This window comes from Homo sapiens, chromosome 6 (assembly GCF_000001405.40).
Source record: "Homo sapiens chromosome 6, GRCh38.p14 Primary Assembly".
Classification (NCBI taxonomy): Eukaryota; Metazoa; Chordata; class Mammalia; order Primates; family Hominidae; genus Homo; species Homo sapiens.
Window position 1 is genome coordinate 135,451,334 of NC_000006.12, and position 19,186 is coordinate 135,470,519.

Here is a 19,186-nt window from a genome sequence, read left to right on the forward strand (position 1 = left end):
TTTCTATCATCAATGATTAATTCCCTCAATATATATTCACCAAACACTTTCTATGTGACATTAATATGCTGGGAGCTGGTGATATTATAGCATGGAGTTTCAAGAGAGTGACATATTAAATGCAAAAAGACCTAGTAAAATAAGGACTAAAAATGTTCAACATATTTACCCAAAAGAAGTCATTGGTGACTCTAAAAAGCTTACAGTCTAATGAAGAAGACAGGTAAGTGTTAGAAGACGTGAAGCACATAGAATACCTTACTCTTTCTGGGGGGTGGGGATGGGATAAGAATTCTTGACTGCCATTTTTGCCAATGGCATAAGATGAATAAATAAATAAAAATCCATATAGTACTTAGAGGTAGAAATGCCCTGAAATATGTTACTGCTTCCTAAGTGCAACTTACAGTAAATTCTGCAGGTCTGCACAAATCTTAGCATAAAAGAAATGCAGTTTCTAATAAAACCACACGATGGCACTGTTTACTATGTGAAAGTGAGTTTTTTGCTTTTTTTTTTTAATGGCTTTTTTTCTTTGCTCTAAATCAGTATGGAAGGTGTTATGGAAAAAGGCATTAACAGATTTATAAAAGGGTGATCATCGATAGCACACTGGACCAGGTGATTGCTAAGGCCACTCTCAAATTACTTACTCACCATAGCCAACCTGGTGGCTGTTCAGCCCTTTGACTATAAAACTTCTAAAATCTCTCTCTAACCTCCAATATGGATTAAATGTCTCAACTGGATTTTAACAGCATCTGTTCTATAGCACATAATAATGTAGGTAACAGGTCTGTATAGAAATTAAATTGGAGGGCAGCTATATACAATGTCTAATTTATCTATGAATGTACTGAATTTAGCAGACTGTCTCACATTTTATAGATCATATTTGTTGAATGAATGGATTCACAAATGAAAATGTTTTTATAAGATGGTACAAAATAATTACTCAAGACTTTTCATAATTTAAATTGATGTTTGAAGGAAAAGATAATTACAAAATTAAAATATCCTTTTTTAAACATCAATCTACGCCTTTCATCTTTGCTGAAACATCTCGTCAAAGACATCCTAGTCAGAGACACCTAGTCAAAGACAAATGTACAAAGACATTTTTTACCTAGACTACTGTTAAGAATTTCCTAATGTGATTTTCAAGTATCTACATTTGCTCCCTCTAGAATCTGTTCTCCACATAACAGAGTATATATCTTTCTAAAACACAAATCAGATTATTTTATTCTTTTGTTTAAAATCCCACAGTGGCTTCCCATTGCTCTTTAAATTCTATAATGGCTTCCTCTTGCTATAATGACTGAGAAGACCTCATCATAATTAACATCCCGTTGACCTTAGCAACCTCTTCATGCACCATTCTTCTCCCCTTAGTCTCTGTCCTCCAATCTTGGTGGCCTTCTTTTGATTTTCTGAATTAACCCTGCTCCTTCAAATATCAGGGTTTTTGCATATATTGTACCCTCTACCATAGACCATTTCTTCCCCACCGGTGGCAATGTGTCTCTTCCTCAGGAATGTTTTCCCTGACCCCACAGTTCATCATCCATCCTATACCTCTTTACGATATTTATAAAAATTTATAATTAAATGATAAATTGTGAAATCAATTGTTTTATGTTTGTGTTGCTGGAATATGAAGTCCAGGAGTTCAAGGAATTTGTCATCTTTGTCCACTGACAACAGTAGCTGGCACATAGAAAAGTCTTAATATTTTTTGAACTGAATAAATAATGGCATGGCTGTTTGTGTCTTTTTTAATGCTACATCCTCAGAACCAAATAGTGTAACTGGCACATACTGGGCCATCAATAAATATTTAAGAATCTGAATGAGCATAACCTGAGCTTGAATTAGTAACTCTTCATCCCTACAACATTACCTTAGATTCTAATTCCTTATATGAGACCAAACTGATTTGGGAGAAAGCAGCCAACTAAATTTGAAGACTAGTTTTAAAGTGTTTAAAATGGATGAAAAACATACCTTAAGAAATGCCCAGGCAATTTTCCGAAAGCCACATTCTTGGTTTTGAACCTCAGAATTATTCTTAATTTCATCCACGCTTAAGAAATCAAGAATCTGCAAATAAATTCACAGAAGACTAAGCTACCTAAAATTTAATATTTTCTAATGGTACATTATTAAAACTTTAAAAAATCATTTGTATAGTGCTTAAAAACATTAACCTTTACAGGGAATAAAAACATTTTTATCTCATTTCATTCACCTTAAAGTTAACTCATTCAGTTAGGGAGGGTCCATTTTCTGACTATTTTATCTTTCATTAATAAATACTATGATTTATTTCAAATCCAAAGCAAAGTGTTAATCACCTCAAATATAACCTAGGTACAAATATAATAGGCATAGAATTCTTAAGCTTTCATTGTTTTTTATGTATCACAGCAGACTTTAAAGGATTGTTTGTTTAAAAAACTCACAACCCTATTTCTGGGTCTTTGTCTTGGATCACCTTCCTGAAGTTGGGGTTTTTCTCTTTGGATGTATGTTATAATTAGGCTTCTCAAGAGGATTTCTTCCATTCCTCTATCCTGTCTGGACATTAAAGCTCATGGATTTGCAACCAACCTGCCACAGAGATCGTATTCTAGATATTTATCAAAGGCTATCACTTCAAACTTACTGGTGCTTATTAAAAGCTCAGCTGCGAAAATGAGATTTTTATAGAAAGAAGACTGCTTAAGAAATGATACAGACTCCAATCATCTGTGCTTTTTGGATACCTAAATCTTTTTTACAGATATAATACATGCTCAGTGAAAACATAATATAAAAAATATATAGATCCAAAGTAAAAACAACTTGTAATCCAGACCCATAGATGGTCACCATTAACATCTAGTTTGCAGGCCAAATCTTTTTCTGTGCATTCCTAAACATATGTGTGGAACTACAAATCTAATAATGCTATTTCACAAATTATTTTCATATAGTATGTAGTGAATATCTCTTCATGTCAATACATACACATGAATACCGTAATGTTAATGACTGCCTACTATTCTGTCACAAATACCATAAATTTAACAAAAATTATAACTTATTTAACCAAATCTCTTACTGATCTAAATGTAGGTTATTTTATCTCCCTAAAATTTTTGCTATTATAAACAGTGCTGAAATAAATATCCTTGCACACACATCTTCACGGACTTGTCATTTTTTTCCTTAAGATAAATACCTAAGAGTAAAATAATGGTTTTAAAGACTGTGAGACATTATCAAGTTGTCCTCAACACTTAAAAAACTGAGATCAAAAAGCAGTTGCATAGGCAATAACATATTACATTAAAACTTAAGAAGCAACCAAAAGCGTTTATAATACAACAATCTATCCTTCTTCATCTCTTAATACTAAAATGAATACAGAAGAAAATTGTAACAAATGACAAAGTTTGAAGACAAAAAATTCCTTAAGATACAAATTATATCAATTTTTCAACAATAACAGCTTTATGTAAATCACACACAACATAATCACAAATGTAAATATTGGAATATTTGTATCATAAATACAAATAGACAACCTGAAAGTCAAGGATCATAAAAACAAGTAATTCTACAAAATGAATCTTCGGCACTGGTTATGCCAAGTCCCCTGCTGTTCCCATGCTAAACTTCTCCATCTAGCTTACACTGGAAGGGGGCTTTCTCTATTGTCCTTTGCTTATGGAGACAGAACACATGATAGAGTAAAGAAATGTGGTATTCTAGGTTCAAACTATCTGCAAACGCATTTTTTTTAACTTAAAATTCGAGTAACTTTGGGGAAATCACTTTTATTCCAAACCTTGTTATCATTTTCAGTAAGAAAATTATATAATAACAACTAGTCAGCTCAAAAGCCATGTATTCCATAAAGCTTTCCCTGACTCCACTGACCCGCCACTAACCCTTCACATATAAGTTCTACATCATTTTTGGTTACATATTAAACTGCATTAACTGATCTGTGTACATTTATCTTTATTTATCCAGGTGGTACACATATTCTTAGGGTGCCTGACATGGTTAAATGAGTTTATGCTTTGTGAAATGGGTTTAAAATGGAGAAATGCATTCATATCGAGTGGATTCATCACTTCACTACAGTTAACAGTCACAGAGCTGTTGTAATTATTAAATTATACAAAGTAGGCCAAATGGTTAAATAGTAAACACTCAGCAAATATGCTATCACTGTTTATAAAAGGGCGTCTCACTTGATTCCACAGCATTGGAAAACTAAATCCTAGAGATTAAATTCTCACACAACTTTTTTTTTTGCCTTACTGGACTACTAAAAATAATAGCTTACATTTGTGCTATTAAATATTAACTATCGTTTAATTTGAATTGGTCCATTCAATTCATACCTCAAAGAACAGGATGACTTTAGGACTCTCATCAGAGCCTCGAAGCAAATAGGGAAAATTTTCATTAAATACAATTTGTTCTTCCCACTCTGGAAGTCTTGATTTTAACTGTTTAAAATCATATGGCTGGGTCATAATAGGAAGAATATAATCCACATTCTCTTTTTCATAGTAAGATGAAACAGGCCGTCCACTGTACAAAAAAAGATACTTCCATTAACACAATTTTCATAATTTTGAGGTGAGAAAAAAATATATAGTGTACAAGGTGAGGCAACCAGAAATAATGAATAGTCATAATAATACAAAAGGAAAAATTATTCTGAGTGTCCATCTAGAAACTTACAAATTTTATAAGACTTAAAAGTAACAGTCCATCTTATATTTGTCTACTATCAATTGGTTTCACATGATTATTTTATTATAGAAATATAAAGTGAGAAGTATGATTATACCTTTGCCATATAAAGCTGGGATAAACTAACTCCTTCAGAATTTTGTAAGAGTTTATAATAAAATAGACATTGCCAGGCACAGCGGCTCAAGCCTGTAACCCCAGCACTTTGGGAGGCTGAGGCAGGTGGACTGCTTGAGCTCAGGAGTTTGGGACCAGCCTGGGTAACATGATGAAACCTCGTTTCTACAAAAAATAGAAAAAAAGTTAGCTGGGCATGGTGGCACATGTCTGCAGTCCCAGCTACGTGGGAGTCTGAGGTGGGAGGATCACCTGAGCCCAGGGAGGTTGAGGCTGTAGTAAGCTGTGATTGCACCACTGCACTCCAGCCAGTGAGACGCAGTGAGATATTGTCTCAAAAAAAAAAAAAAAAGACATAAAATTGATTTTACATAAAAAAGGCACAAGACTGTAAACCCTTTGAGTTGTCATATTTTCTTTGTGTGCCCTAAGGCAAATGAATAGGTGAATGGGCTTTTTTTGGACAATCTTCCTGTTTCCATTCCCCACTGGCTTTCCAAACAATTTTTTAAAAAATTCTAGTATAAATGTGTATTTCATTGTACTTTTCATTTGGGATTTCAAGCATGCATTAGCTATAGAAGTACTCTTAGAAAAAACATTCAAGATTCATTTACCTTACCTGAAGCCCAGATAACATTACTTTCAAAAGAAAAATATGAGGTTAGACAATTAAAGCATTTACAATGCAATATAAAATATTTACAATGCAACTTTATGTCATAAATTACATCTACTAAGCTGGCAGAAGCTCTCTACCACTTAAAATGAATTATTCCCTTCCACTTAAAAGTAATTACTGAGCCAGGCACGGTGGGTCATGCCTGTAATCCCAGCACTTTGGGAGGGTGAGGCAGGTAGATCGCCTGAGGTCAGGAGTTCGAGATCATCCTGGCCAAACCCCGCCTCCACTAAAAATACAAAAATTAGCCAGGAGTGGTGGCGAGTGCCTGTAATCCCAGCTACTTGGGAGGCTGAGGCAGTAGAATCGCTTGAACCCAGGAGGCAGAGGTTGCAGTGAGCCAAGATTGAGCACTGCATTCCAGCCTGGGCGACAAAGCGAGACTCCATCTCGGAAAAAAAGTAATTACTGAATTAGATGTTCTCCATTTCTTCTACAACATTCTGATCAATGTTAATGACTGATGAACACCTACAACTAGTAGACTATTCTCTAATACAAATCCATAACTCTATTCCCACTGACTTTCAACTACCAATGGCAGAAAAAAGACTTCTACTAGTTTCAGTTTCAAGAATTAGTTGTGCAATTAAAAAAAATTACCTATCATCTTTCTTGACATATTGACCAGTATGCTCATCAACCACATGAATTTTTACCATTGGGTGAGAAATCATAAAATCTGACTTAAGTCTATCAGTTCGGTGAATGTAAACTCCCAAGACAAGGTCATCATCAAGCAAACATTTGGGATAAACCGGGCTATCTCGGCTTGTTATTTCATGAACACCATCACCATCAACATCTTCATTATTATCTGCAACTACACGCATGGAAAAAAAAATCAATGTTATAATTAGTTGTTCCCATAGTAGTATTTACATATAACCTAATCTTTAAGATCTGTGATGATCTCACTGTGTTCAAAGGAACTTCAGGGGGAAAGAAAGAAAAAGCCAGACAACAGCAAACCATAGTGTGAAAGTAAAATACTACATTTGCTAATACATTACAAATAAGGTGAAAAATCCTTGTTTATATTTTTCCTAATAAGTAGGAGAAACACAAAAAGAAAAAAAAGAGAGTCAAAGTCAGAAAAGTAACTTTATCCAGGTATTTTCTAAGTAGAATATATATGACAACTAGAATTTCTAATTCTGGGTGGGATGCAGTAGGATGCAGCAGGTAAACACTTTGGGTAACAACTGGAAAGAGCCAAATAAATTACAAATATCTTATTTTAAATTTTAAAGGCATCAGAAAAGTACAGAAAGAAGATATAGTAGACAGATTAAAATTCCAGAAAGGGAGAATCAGTCAGAGGTCAGCTGATGGACTGGCAGCTGTTTTTGTCTCTGGGGACATTTGCTGATTCAGGGTGTGAGCTGAAGATGAGAGTTTGGCTTAGGCAGAAAGTCACTGCCAGGAGAATGAGAAATAAGCAAAACTTTTAGTGATTCCACAGGACTAAAATGATAAAACTGGAGATTTGAGAAGCCTCAAACACATGACCAATTCTTCTCACAAAACTGAATTCTGATGCTACAGAGAAGCTAGAGAGGTAGTGAAATCTCCCAGGCTTGTGGTGCTAGCAGACCATGATCTGCCAGGGGAAGGGGACCAAAACAAAATAGGCAAAGGTGAAGCCCTGGAGGGTGTGGTCAATTTACACTAAGGACCAAGAGCAACTTTTCATCTGGGGTCATCTACCAATTCTGGTCACAGTTCTAGGTTGATAATCCAGGTGTGATTTCTGGCAGAAGGTTGCTACTGAGGGACAGAGAAACCAGCGGATATTTTGGCATGCTTGGGGGCTACAGTGACAAAAATGGATACCTGAAGGATGTCTAACATATAGCCAGTCTCCTGCTCAAAGAATTTGCCAAATTTTGAAGCAGCATGAGACAGAAGACTAAATGGCTAAGTGGAAAAGCACTGAAGGGCAAAACTGGATCTCCCATCGTATTTAGGGCTATGAATTATTAGAGATAAAGAAGGGCGCTGCATTATGATAAAAGTGATAACTTGACAAGAGATACAAGAAAAATAAACTGAAAATCGGAATGGAAATGTTAATACCTCTCTCAACAGCTGACAGAATAAGTAGACCAAAAAAATTAATAAGAAGAACTGAGCACAATTAAACTTGACCTAACTGACATACATAGGACACTGCACTCAACATTAGAAATTGCATTCTTTTCAAATGAGCATGGAATATTTACCAAATCTGACCATAAAATGGTCATTAAAAAGGCCTCAATAAACTCAGAGGATTGAAATCATTCATAATATGTTATCTGACAACAATGGAAGACAGAAACCAATAAAAGATAACTAGAAAAGCATCTGCTGCCTGAAACTAAGCAACATACTTCTAAATAATGATCAATTAAAATGGAAATTAGAAAATATTTTGTGTTAAATAATAAAAACACACAATATTAAAAATTTTGGAGATGCAGGTAAAGTAGTACTTAAATGGGAATTTAGTCTTAAATGCATATAAAAGAAGACTGAAATCTTTCTTATAAAACCCAATTTTAAAGCTAGAAATAAGTAGCAAATCAAACCCAAATAAGTACAAAGAAGGAAAATACAGTTACAAGAAAAAAAATCACTAAAATAGTACATAAATGTACAACAGAGAAAATCAAAGCTAAAGGTTGGTTTTTGAAAAGACTCATAAATTTAAAATCCTAAGGCTGATCAAGAAATTGAGAGAAAACAAACTGCCAATACCATGAATGAAAACATGGGACAGCCTTTCAGATGCTATAGAAATGCAAAATTTGGATGAAATAGACACATCCCTCAAAAACTACAGTATATCAAATAGCTGACAGAAGTAAAAAAAAAAAAAAAAAAGATTGATAATAAAGAGATTAAATCTTGATTTGTATCAAGGCAAGCAAAATGATAAGGCATAAGGACTGAAAAAGAAGCGATAAAACTATCGTTATTAACGTATTACATGATTGCATATGTAGAAAAATCCAAACAATGTAAGAATAAACTCTGTGGGCCGCGATAGCTCACATCTGTAATCCCAGCACTCTGGGAGACTGAGGTGGGAGAACTGCTTGAGCCCAGGAGTTTGAGACTAGCCTGGAAAATGTAGTGAGACCTTGTCTCTACAAAAATTAGCCAAGAATGGTGGTGCATGCCTGTAGTCCCAGCTACTTGGAAGACTGAGGTGGGAAGATCGCTTGAACCTGGGAAGTATAAGTTGCAGTGAGCTGAGATCACGCCACTGCACTCCAGCCTGAGTGACAGGGCAAGACCCTGTCTCAAAAATAAATAAATAAATAAACTCTTGCAATAAGTGAATTTAGCAAATCAATGGACACAATGTTAAAAAATTTTAAATACATTTCTACATATATGTACCAGCAACAAATACAAAACAAAAATTTTTTAAATGCCATTTATAATATCATTAAGAAACATCAAATCCCAGGAATAAATCTAAGGAGAGATTCTGCTGAAATGTATATTGCTGGGATATATTAAATAAGATGCAAATAAATGGAAGTGCATACCAAATTCATAGCCTGAGAATCAATACTGTGTAAAAATGTCAAGTCTCTTTAGAGAGTTGTTATGCTGTGACTCTTTAGATTCACCCAGTCTAGATCAAAATCACAGCTTGCAAGACAGAATGAGGGTAAAAAGGAAGAGGGAGAATGGAGAAGCTCTTCTAAAATCCATACAGAAATGCAAAGTAAAGAATAGCCTAGACAATGCAGATGAAGAAGGAAAAACCTAGAGTATAATACTAAATAGCAAGACCTATTAAAAAGCTACAGTATTTAGACATGGTAGTGTTGGTACAAACTGTCTAATTTAAAAGAATAGAGACTACAAAAACTGATCCACATGTAACACAGTCATGTTATTTATGGGAAAAGTGACACTGCAACACAGAGGGAAAAAGACACTCTCTTCAGTAAATGGTACTGGGTCAATCATAATATATATTCACATGGATATCTTGATCACTGCTTCCTATCATAAACATAAACCAATTCCTGATGAACTGCATATCTAAATGTGAAAGTAAAACAGAAACAGTAAAACTTTTAGAATAAAACTTTTAGAAAAATATCTTCAGAACTTAGGAAAGATTTCTTAAATCACAGCACTTACCATCAAAGGAAAAAAATGGATAAACTGGACAATACAAAAATTTCTGTTTTTCAAAAGACACCAATGAGAGAGAAATAATCAAACCAGAGTAGGACGACATTTGCGATATAAATGTGGGTAGGTATTTATATCTGAGAATAATCTCATATTGAGGTATATAAACCTATCACTACAAATCAATTAGAAAAAGACAATTCTGTGTTTTAAAAAATGCAGACAACTTGAATATATTTACAAATGTCAAAATCTAAGTAGTTAATAAACATGAAAACACTCAACTTCAATAGTTACCATGGAAATAAAATTAAAACCAAAATGAATATCACTATACATTCCTGAAGAATGAGGAAAATTTAGTCACTCCTAAGAATGACTAAAACGTTAAAAAACAGTATTACATGTTGGTAAAGATGTGGAGTGACTGGAACTCTCAAACACTGCTAGTGTCAACTGGTAAACCAACTTTGGAAAACTGGAAGTAATTATTAAAGCAAAAAATATACATAATCTATGACAGCAATTCTACTCCTAACAATATGCCCAAGATAAAGGTATGCATGTGCTTACCAAATACGTGACTGCAATGTGAATTACCGCTTTACTTATAATTGCCTAAAACTAGAAACAACTCAAATGACCATCAATAAAATAGGCAAATTAACTGTGGTATATTCACACAATGGATATCTAAATAATACAAAAACAGAATTAAGAATGAATAAGCTCAACTGTATGCAAGCAACAGTAGTATAAATCTTACAAAATTAACATTGAGTAAAAAAAGTCAGGCACAAGGAGCACAGTATTTATCATTCTATTCATATTAAAGTATAAAAATAAGCAAAAATAAACTCTGTTAGATGTCCAGGTAGTGGTTACTCCCACAGGGCAACTAACGGGAAGGTGATTTTTCTGGGTGCTAATGATGTTCTGTTTCCAAATTTAGGTAATGATTTTATAGGTATGTTCAGTTTGTGAAAAAAACTTTAAAAATATGTATATGAGTATACTGCTTAGTGCTTTATATATATAGAAACACATAAAACAAGTATACTGCTTAGTGCTTTTCTATATATATCTATATACACATTATGCTTCAACAAAAGATTTTAAAATTTTAATTATAGAAACCACAAAACATCATCACTTACATCTTCTAATGAATAAGTACTATAAAATCTAAAATTGCCCATTTTAATCCCAATTTTTGGCCAATCAAATGGAAACTGAAAGACTAAAAAAGGATGTATGAGTAGAAAAGAACATGTAAAGAAAAATAAGAGAAAACAAACAAGAAAAGAAGAAGACAGAAATCAACAAGGCAAAGAGAAAAGTTGAGAAAGGAAAGAAGTGGTATTAGGCTGACGAATTGGGAGGATACCATGTTGGACAGGATGCAGCCTTAACATCAGAAATGTTTATTGGCTGCTGACCATTTATAGCTTTCAACAACTGAGTCCTAACCATTTAGAGGATGTAAACTCAATGGTTTAAAGAAGAAATCCTCTATGACCCAATAGCAACTACAAAGTCAGTATCATTTTAGAGTTGAATTTAAAGTATGACAAGAATCAGAGAAGGTCAGGCATGGTGGCTCATGCCTGTAACCCCAGCATTTTGGGAGGCTGAGGCAGGTGGATCACTTGAGGTCATGAGTTCGAGACCAGCTTGGCCAACATGGTGAAACCCCGTCTCTACTAACAATACAAAAATTAGCCGGGTATGGTGGCATGCATCTGCAATCCCAGCTACTCAGGAGGCCGAGGCAGGAGAATCGCTTTAACCCGGGAGGTGGAGGTTGCAATGAGCCGAGATCGTGCCACTGCATTCCAGCCTGGGAGACAGAGTAAGACACCATCTCAAAAATAAAAAAAATCAGAGAAGACTCAAGTGATACAAACTCATCAGAGACCTACAGCTACAAATACATGTGTGCTTTAATCTAGATGAATTCAAGAACAAGTACCAAATATCCTATATTGAATTATTTTCAAGTATACCCATCAGTTTTAAAGGGCTAAAATTCCTAGAATCAAGTTATTTCTACCAACATACACAATTTTTCATTTAATTTGTATAGCAAACCTGCTTTAGTCTTCTTTTTTGTTTTTTTTGGTTTAGGTTTTGTATCATCTTGCATGCTGTCTTCTGTGCTTTGTTCCATTGAGCTTATTTCATCATCTTGATGAGAATCTGAAGAAACTGATCTAACTGAAGATTCTTTCTTTTGTTCACCTTCAACTGTGTCACCAGAGATGGTCAATGTACTACAAATATAATCCAAGTATCAGCCATTACAGATATATTATCATTATAATTATTATTCATGATGCAACAGAGTGAACAGTAAATAGGAGCAAAGATAATCCTAAAATCACTATTATTGTCTCTTGAGAGATGCATGTATTTTCTTATACACTAAAATGGTTAAGTGTCAAATAGGTATCATAGGTGGTATTTTATACTTCGTGAGGAGTTACACGATTCAACTAAAACTGAGCTCTAAACCCCAGGGGAAAGGGAAATTGTATTAATATTTTATGAGCAATTGATCTCTCTTTACATAGGACTTATCAAAGCATGCCCACCCTGCTGCCAAGTAAATGATTTATCAACCAATTTTTAAATTACCTTATTTAAAGGTATAAAAAGTATTCTAGGTTTGTTCCGTCTTCAAGAGGCTTCACATGCACAACTTTTGATTTCTCTTTTTTCTTTTCTTTTTTTTTTAAGACTGGGTTTCGCGCTGTCGCCCAAGTTGGAGTGCAGTGGTACAATCATAGCTCACTGCTGCCTCAACCTCCCAGGCTCCAGCAATCCTCCCACTTCTGCCTCCCAAATAGCTGAGACTACAGGCACCATACCTGGCTAATTTTTGTAATTTTTGTAGAGATGGACTTTCACTATGTTGCTCAGGCATGGATTTCTAGGTAAAAATTAATTCCTTGGTGAGTCACTACATTTTCAGAAGGCTATTACTAAAATTAAAATCTATATCACATGAACTAGTAAATGGTAAGAAGTAGCAACCCAGAAGCATACTGAGTTTAAAGAAAAACCAGCCTACTAACATTTTAATGTATCTAGTAAAAAATCTGCATGTAAATAATAAAAAATTAATTTCCAATATTTTTAGTCATATTTCAAAAAAAAAATGGGTTGAGGAAAGTAAGACTAGAGAAATATTTCAAATTAGTCATTCCAGAAAGCCATTCTATTTGATCACATCACCAAACCCTGTTCTTTAAGGAGAACAGCTACCCTTTGCGTGCCACTGTCACGTGTTATTAAAAATTCATGAGCTAACCCTATTTCATATTGACTATGGCTTACCAGTCTACCACAGAGGTGGTAGCTATGAGAAGGAAGATTTATAGTATACTATGGTAGGAAGCCTCTAAGATGGACCTTACTGATCCCCACCTCTTCATATTCATGTCTTTGTGTAATCCCCTTTCTTTTGTGTGTGGGCTGGACTAGTGACTTACTTCTGACAGACAGAATATGATAAAAGTAATGAATGCCACTTATAAGATTAGGTTCCAAAAAGACTGTGACTTCTGTCTTGCTCTCACTCTCTCAGAGCCCTTGGTCTGGGGAAGCAAGTGGCCATGTTGTGTGTAGACCATATGGAGACAGTCCATGTGGCAAGGAACTGGTATACCGGGCCCAAAGCCAGTCAGGACCTGAGGCCTACCAACAACCACATGAATGAGCTTAGAACTGGATCTTCTAAGGCCTTCTAACAGCTATGTCACTTGACAGATCCTCCCCCAGTCAAGGCTTGAGGTGACTTCAGTCCCAGCTAACATCCTGATTGCAACCTGTGATTGACAGAGACACCCAGTGAAGTCACTCTCAGATTGCTGGCCCACAGAAACTCTGAGACAGTAAATGCTTGTTGTCTTAAGCTGCTAAATTCTGGGATCATCTTTTTAATGGAGCAACAGATAACTAATATATACTATCATGTCCCTGCAGCAACTTGGTTTGCCGTATCTTTATTACCACCGGTCACCTAGCTTTTGAAAAGAGGGGAATTATTTTTGGCTGAGGGCTTTAGGGGAAATTGATGCTGAATGCCAAAGAATAGTCACATATAAAATGTTCCCACCTCAAGTTGTTTCTCTAGAGGAGAACTGCAGGGGGGAACAAAGTTAATTATAGCAGTTAAAAAGCATTTTTACCTTATTGTTTTCTCCAAATAGAAAACATATAAATATGTGTATGTTCACTTAACCTCACACTCTATATAGAAGTACATACATATATAAGCATCATATAGAGAAAAAGATTAGAATACCAAATTGCCAATAGTGATTATCTTTGAATAGTTTTTCTACAATGAGCTAATGTTATCTGTATAAGAAAAAAAGTTATATTTATATATCCAAACAGGTATTTGTAACTCAAAAAAGGGGAAGTAATTAGGTTTCTATTACTTTGAAAGCAGATGTAAGTGAGTAGTTCAGGGTAGGGACAAGGATCTGGCTCAGCCTCTTACTAGTTCTGTACTTCCATTTCCTCATCAGCAAGATAGGAAGAATATTACTTTTCCTTATAAGATTGTCATAAGAAATAAATGAGTTAATTCTCGTAAAGCACCTAGTACATAGTAAGGTGTTATGTAAAAGTTAGCTGTTCTTATCTTAGTGACAATGTCTCCAAATAAAAGCGTAAGAATTTTCTTTGTTAAACCACAGATAATATTCAAAACCTGAAAATAACAGTGTTTTTCTAAGAGGATATTTTACATTTATCAATGCAAAAATACCTTGTTTCAGCTTTAGAGAAGACTGGAACTTCCTTTTTCTTTTTCCTTTTTTCACTGCTTAGTTTGTCATCATGGAATAAAGTATCTGAGGGAAAGTAAGTCAACTGTTCTTTCAGTTTCTTTCTTATTTTCCTCTTAATCTCCTTTGCCATTTCTTCAGTTACATGGCACTGATATGCTTGCATCAATTCTTCATCCTCTTCTAAATCAGTCTCTTCTCTTCCCTCATTTGCCTTCTCACTTTTCTGATGATCAACGCCTGGCTGTGGCTTTGTATGTGTTTTCTGGTGTGTAGAATCAACCTTATTCTCAGGAGTTTCCGGTTTCAGGTCTTGTGTAGTCAACTGGGGCACCGTCTTTATCACCTTTTTATTTGGCTTTCCTTGTTTGTCTTCCTCTACACTAGCATCACCATTAGGATTTTCAGTTGCTAACTGTGTGTTCCTCAATTTGTTTTTAGTGACTCTCGTGCTCTTCTTCAGGTTGTTAGTGTTAGCAGCACTTACATCATCACTTGTAGTTTCTTTAATATGGGGAAGATTGCTTCTAATAGTGTCGGGCTAGGAAAAGAAGACATGATAACAAAGTTTCAGTTACACATAGATTAGTTATATAAAGAAAAACCTAATAATTAATATTTGACAATGTGGAATTATTGGGAGGATTATTTAGTTTTTCATCTGGACATAGTGACACTATTTTAGAGCATATGAGTACTCTCATAATTTATGCTTCCAGAATTTGATTAGTAATCTCTGAATGTAACTTCAGATTAAATGAGTTAATTGACATGGGAAAAAAGTACTTAAGGACCTATAAGAAGTGAATTAATTGCTCAAATCTCAAATGCTATTTTCCTCATACATATTTTCCTCATGATCTACACTCTAATAGATATTCGAGAAATTGCTAAAAGAGCCATTGAATGTGACATTTCAGGTCACCCAATAGGAAATATACATGGGTCATTTATTTTGCTTCATAATTACACTCTAAAAGCAAAAGTCTACAGCTCTAAGATCACCCTGCAGTAAATCTAAGTGTATCACTAAAATGCTGCTAAATATTACATATTAAGTTAAATCCAATGACAGACTAAGCACAATCTTGTACCTCCTTCCCCAATTAAAATTATTTAAAATGAGATATATTTTTAATAGAAAAAAATAAATAAGGATAAGAGTCAAGTAATACAAGGAAGAGGAGGAGGGGATAAACTAGAGGATGACCAATCGAGGAGCTGGGATGAACAGCTCTGTTTCCCACCTCCATTTGTGTTGACTTTCACCCATGGGATTAAGCATCCCAGCAAAGAGAGAAAGGGCAGTATGCTTCAGGTAGGTATAATTCCCATAAACTGCAGAGGCAGACCATGTTAAAAACAACTAACAAGGAAGAGAAGAGAGATTCTCAAATGTAAAGATGGCTTGACAACTGAAAATTAACAAACACTAAAGGAAGGTAGCACAATGAAGGAAAGCCACCAAATCAAATACAATAAATAAATGAACACCAAAGGAAAATACATATCATATGTAAGTATTTAAAACAAGTATAGTTAATATTAATAAAGAAATGCAAAAGCATACTGGAGCAAGAAAACCCAACTGCTGATATTAAAATAAAATTCTGAATGATAAAAATAAAAGTTTAACTGATGTGTTGAAAAACAGAATGGACAAAAACCATTGCTGACTGTGTATTCCTCAATTTGTTTTTAGTGACTCTCATGCTCTTCTTCAGGCTGTTAGTGTTAGCAGTACTTACATCATCACTTGTAGTTTCTTTCATATAGTGAAGATTGCTTCTAATAGTGTCAGGCTAAAAAGGAAGACATAATAAAGTTTCAGCTAAGCGTAGATTAGTTGTATCAAGAAAAACCAATAATTAATGTTCAACTATGTGGAATTATTGGGAAAATTATTTAGTTTTTTTACCTGGACATAGTGATACTATCTTAGAGCATTTGATGAGTACTCTCATAATTTATGCTTCCAGAATTTCATTAATAATCTCTGAATGTAACTTCAGATTAACATTTTGGATTAACACTTTGGATTCATTTTGTCATGCACAATGTCACATTGTAATGTATGCACCTTACATGTTAACATTCGGTGCTACAAGATGAATCTAAAATCAAAATAAAGAAATGTGCCAGAAATGAATAAACTTAACAATACATACTGGGGTTTGATCTTTGAAACTCCCCATATTTTAAAAGTAGTTAAAAAATATCCAATGTATATAAAAAGGTGATTTAAAAAATGCTGAAAGAACTAGTATCCCAATACATATCTAAGATTTTACCAACTCTAAGACTCTTTTGCTCACCTAAAATATATTTCCAAATTCTATCTGTTCTTTGAGGGTAAATTATGGTGCCACAGCCTCCAAAAAAATTCACTAATCAAATCTAATTATATTCACATGTTCTGTTTTAGAAGCAATATTTAATTTAAAACAGTAAAAATAAATAAATAAGGAAAAAAACCCCCAGAAAATACACACACACAAAACCCAAAGCTAGCAGAAGACAAGAAATAACCAAGATCAGAGCAGAAATAAAGGATACAGAGACACAAAAAACCCTTCAAAAAATCAATGAGGCTGGGCATGGTGGCTCATGCCTGTAATCCCAACAGTTTGGGAGGCCGAGGTGGGTGGATCACATGAGGTCAGGAGTTCGAGATCAGCCTGGCCAACATGGTGAAACCCTATCTCTATCAAAAATACAAAAATTAGCCAGGCGTGACGGTGCACACCTGTAATCTCAGCTACGTGGGAGGCTGAGGCACAAGAATCACTTAAGAGAAGAATCAAATAGACACAATAAAAAATGATAAAGGGGATATCCCCATCGACCCCACAGAAATGCAGACAACCATCAGAGAATACTATAAACAACTCTATGCAAATAAACTAGAAAATCTAGAAAAGATGGATAAATTGCTGGACACATACACCCTCCCAAGACTGAAGCAGGAAGAAGTTGAATCCCTGAAGAGACTAATAACAAGTTCTGAAATTGAGGCAGTAATAAACAGCCTAGAAACAAACAAGCAAAAAAAGCCCAGGACCAGATGGATTTACAGCTGAATTCTACCAGAGGTACACAACAGAACTGGAACCATTTCTACTAAAACTATTCCAAATAATTGAAAAGGAGGGACTATTTCCTAACTCATTTTATGAGGCCAGCATCATCCGGATACCAAAACCTGGCAGAGATGCAACAAAGAAAGAAAAAACAGTTAAGGCCAATATCCCTGACGAACACTGATGCAAATATCCTCAATAAAATACTTGCAACCAAATCCAGCAGCACATCAAAAAGCTTATCCACCACCATCAAGTCAGCTTCATCCACGGGATGCAAGGCTGGTTCAACATACGCAAATCAATAAACATAATTCATCACATGAACAGAACTAAAGACAAAAACCATATGATTATCTGAATAGACACAGGAAAGGCCTTTGATAAAATTCAACATTGCTTCATGTTAAAAACTCTCAATAAACAAGGTACTTATGGAACATACCTCAAAATAAGAGCCATTTATGACAAATCCACAGTCATACTGCCCAAAGTAATTTATAAATTCTATGCTATTCTTATTAAACTACCATTGACATTCTTCACAGAATTAGAAAAAACTACTTTAAAATTCATATGGAACAAAAAAAGAGCCTGTATAGCCAAGACAATCCTAAACAAAAAGAACAAAGCTGGAGGCATCACACTACCTGACTTCGAACTATACTGGAGTAACCAAAACAGCATGGTACAGGAACAAAAACAGACATACAGACCAATGGAACAGAAATAAGATCTCAGAAATAAGACTACACATCAACCATCCTGTATTTGACAAACCTGACAAAAACAACCAATAGGGAAAGGATTCCCTATTTAATAAATGGTGCTGGGAAAACTGTCTAGCCATATGCAGAAAATTGAAACTGGACCCCTTCCTTATACCTTATACAAAAATTAACTCAAGATAACTTAAACACTTAAATGTAAAACCCAAAACTATGAAAACCCTAGAAGAAAATCTAGGCAATACCATTCAGGACACAGGCACAGGCAAAGATTTCATAACAAAAATGTCAACAGCAACTGCAATAAAAACAAAAATTGACAAACAGGATCTAATTAAACTACAGAGCTTCTGCACAGCAAAAGAAACTATCATCAGAATGAACAGACAACCTACAGAATGGGAGAAAATTTTTGTAATCTATCCATTTGACAAAGGTCTAATATCCAGAATCTATAAGGAACTTAAACAAATTTGTGAGAAAAAAACTAAACGACCCCACAAAAAAGTGGGCAAAGGATATGAACACACACTTCTTAAAAGAAGACATTTATGGGGCCAACAAACATGATAAAAAGGTCAACATCACTGATGGTTAGAGAATGCAAATCAAAACCACAATGAGATACCATCTCACACCAGTCAGAATGGCAATTATTAAAAAGTCAAGAAACAACAGATGCTGGTGAAGCTATGGAGAAATAGGAAAGCTTTTACACTGTTGATGGGAATGTAAATTAGTTCAACCATTGTGGAAGACACTGTGGCGATTCCACAAAGACCTAGAACCAGAATTGCTATTTGACCAAGCAATCCCATTACTGGGTATATACCCAAAGGAATATATGTCATTCTATTATAAAGATACATGCATGCGTAT

The 19,186-nt window shown here is 34.7% G+C and overlaps 1 protein-coding gene across 23 annotated transcripts in view, besides 3 other annotated features; it reads right to left on the minus strand.

Moving 5' to 3' along the window:
- The window catches only part of AHI1 (Abelson helper integration site 1), a 214,209-nt gene that overhangs the window by 167,802 nt on the left and 27,221 nt on the right, over positions 1 to 19,186 (minus strand). For all 23 annotated transcript variants that reach the window (XR_001743480.3, XR_007059277.1, XR_007059276.1 and 20 more), the window contains 6 exons: positions 16,248 to 16,301; positions 14,481 to 15,040; positions 11,792 to 11,973; positions 6,161 to 6,380; positions 4,401 to 4,593; positions 2,008 to 2,103 (listed from right to left, as the gene is read on the minus strand). Coding sequence is in view for 19 of the 23 variants with exons in the window: in XM_047418943.1 (XP_047274899.1) it covers positions 2,008 to 2,103; positions 4,401 to 4,593; positions 6,161 to 6,380; positions 11,792 to 11,973; positions 14,481 to 15,040; positions 16,248 to 16,301 (1,305 nt within the window). In the remaining 4 variants the exon portion in view is untranslated. The remainder of the gene's footprint in view (positions 1 to 2,007; positions 2,104 to 4,400; positions 4,594 to 6,160; positions 6,381 to 11,791; positions 11,974 to 14,480; positions 15,041 to 16,247; positions 16,302 to 19,186) is intronic.
- Positions 13,271 to 13,380: an enhancer, noted in NCBI's record as "active region_25106". NCBI's record gives its function as "activates an Ori minimal core promoter by ATAC-STARR-seq in GM12878 lymphoblastoid cells {active_cell/tissue: GM12878}" and the evidence as "EXISTENCE:reporter gene assay evidence [ECO:0000049][PMID:35858748]".
- Positions 13,414 to 13,614: a silencer, noted in NCBI's record as "peak6140 fragment used in MPRA reporter construct". NCBI's record gives its function as "represses an SCP1 promoter by STARR-seq MPRAs in K562 erythroleukemia cells {active_cell/tissue: K562}" and the evidence as "EXISTENCE:reporter gene assay evidence [ECO:0000049][PMID:32103011]".
- Positions 14,045 to 14,094: an enhancer, noted in NCBI's record as "active region_25107". NCBI's record gives its function as "activates an Ori minimal core promoter by ATAC-STARR-seq in GM12878 lymphoblastoid cells {active_cell/tissue: GM12878}" and the evidence as "EXISTENCE:reporter gene assay evidence [ECO:0000049][PMID:35858748]".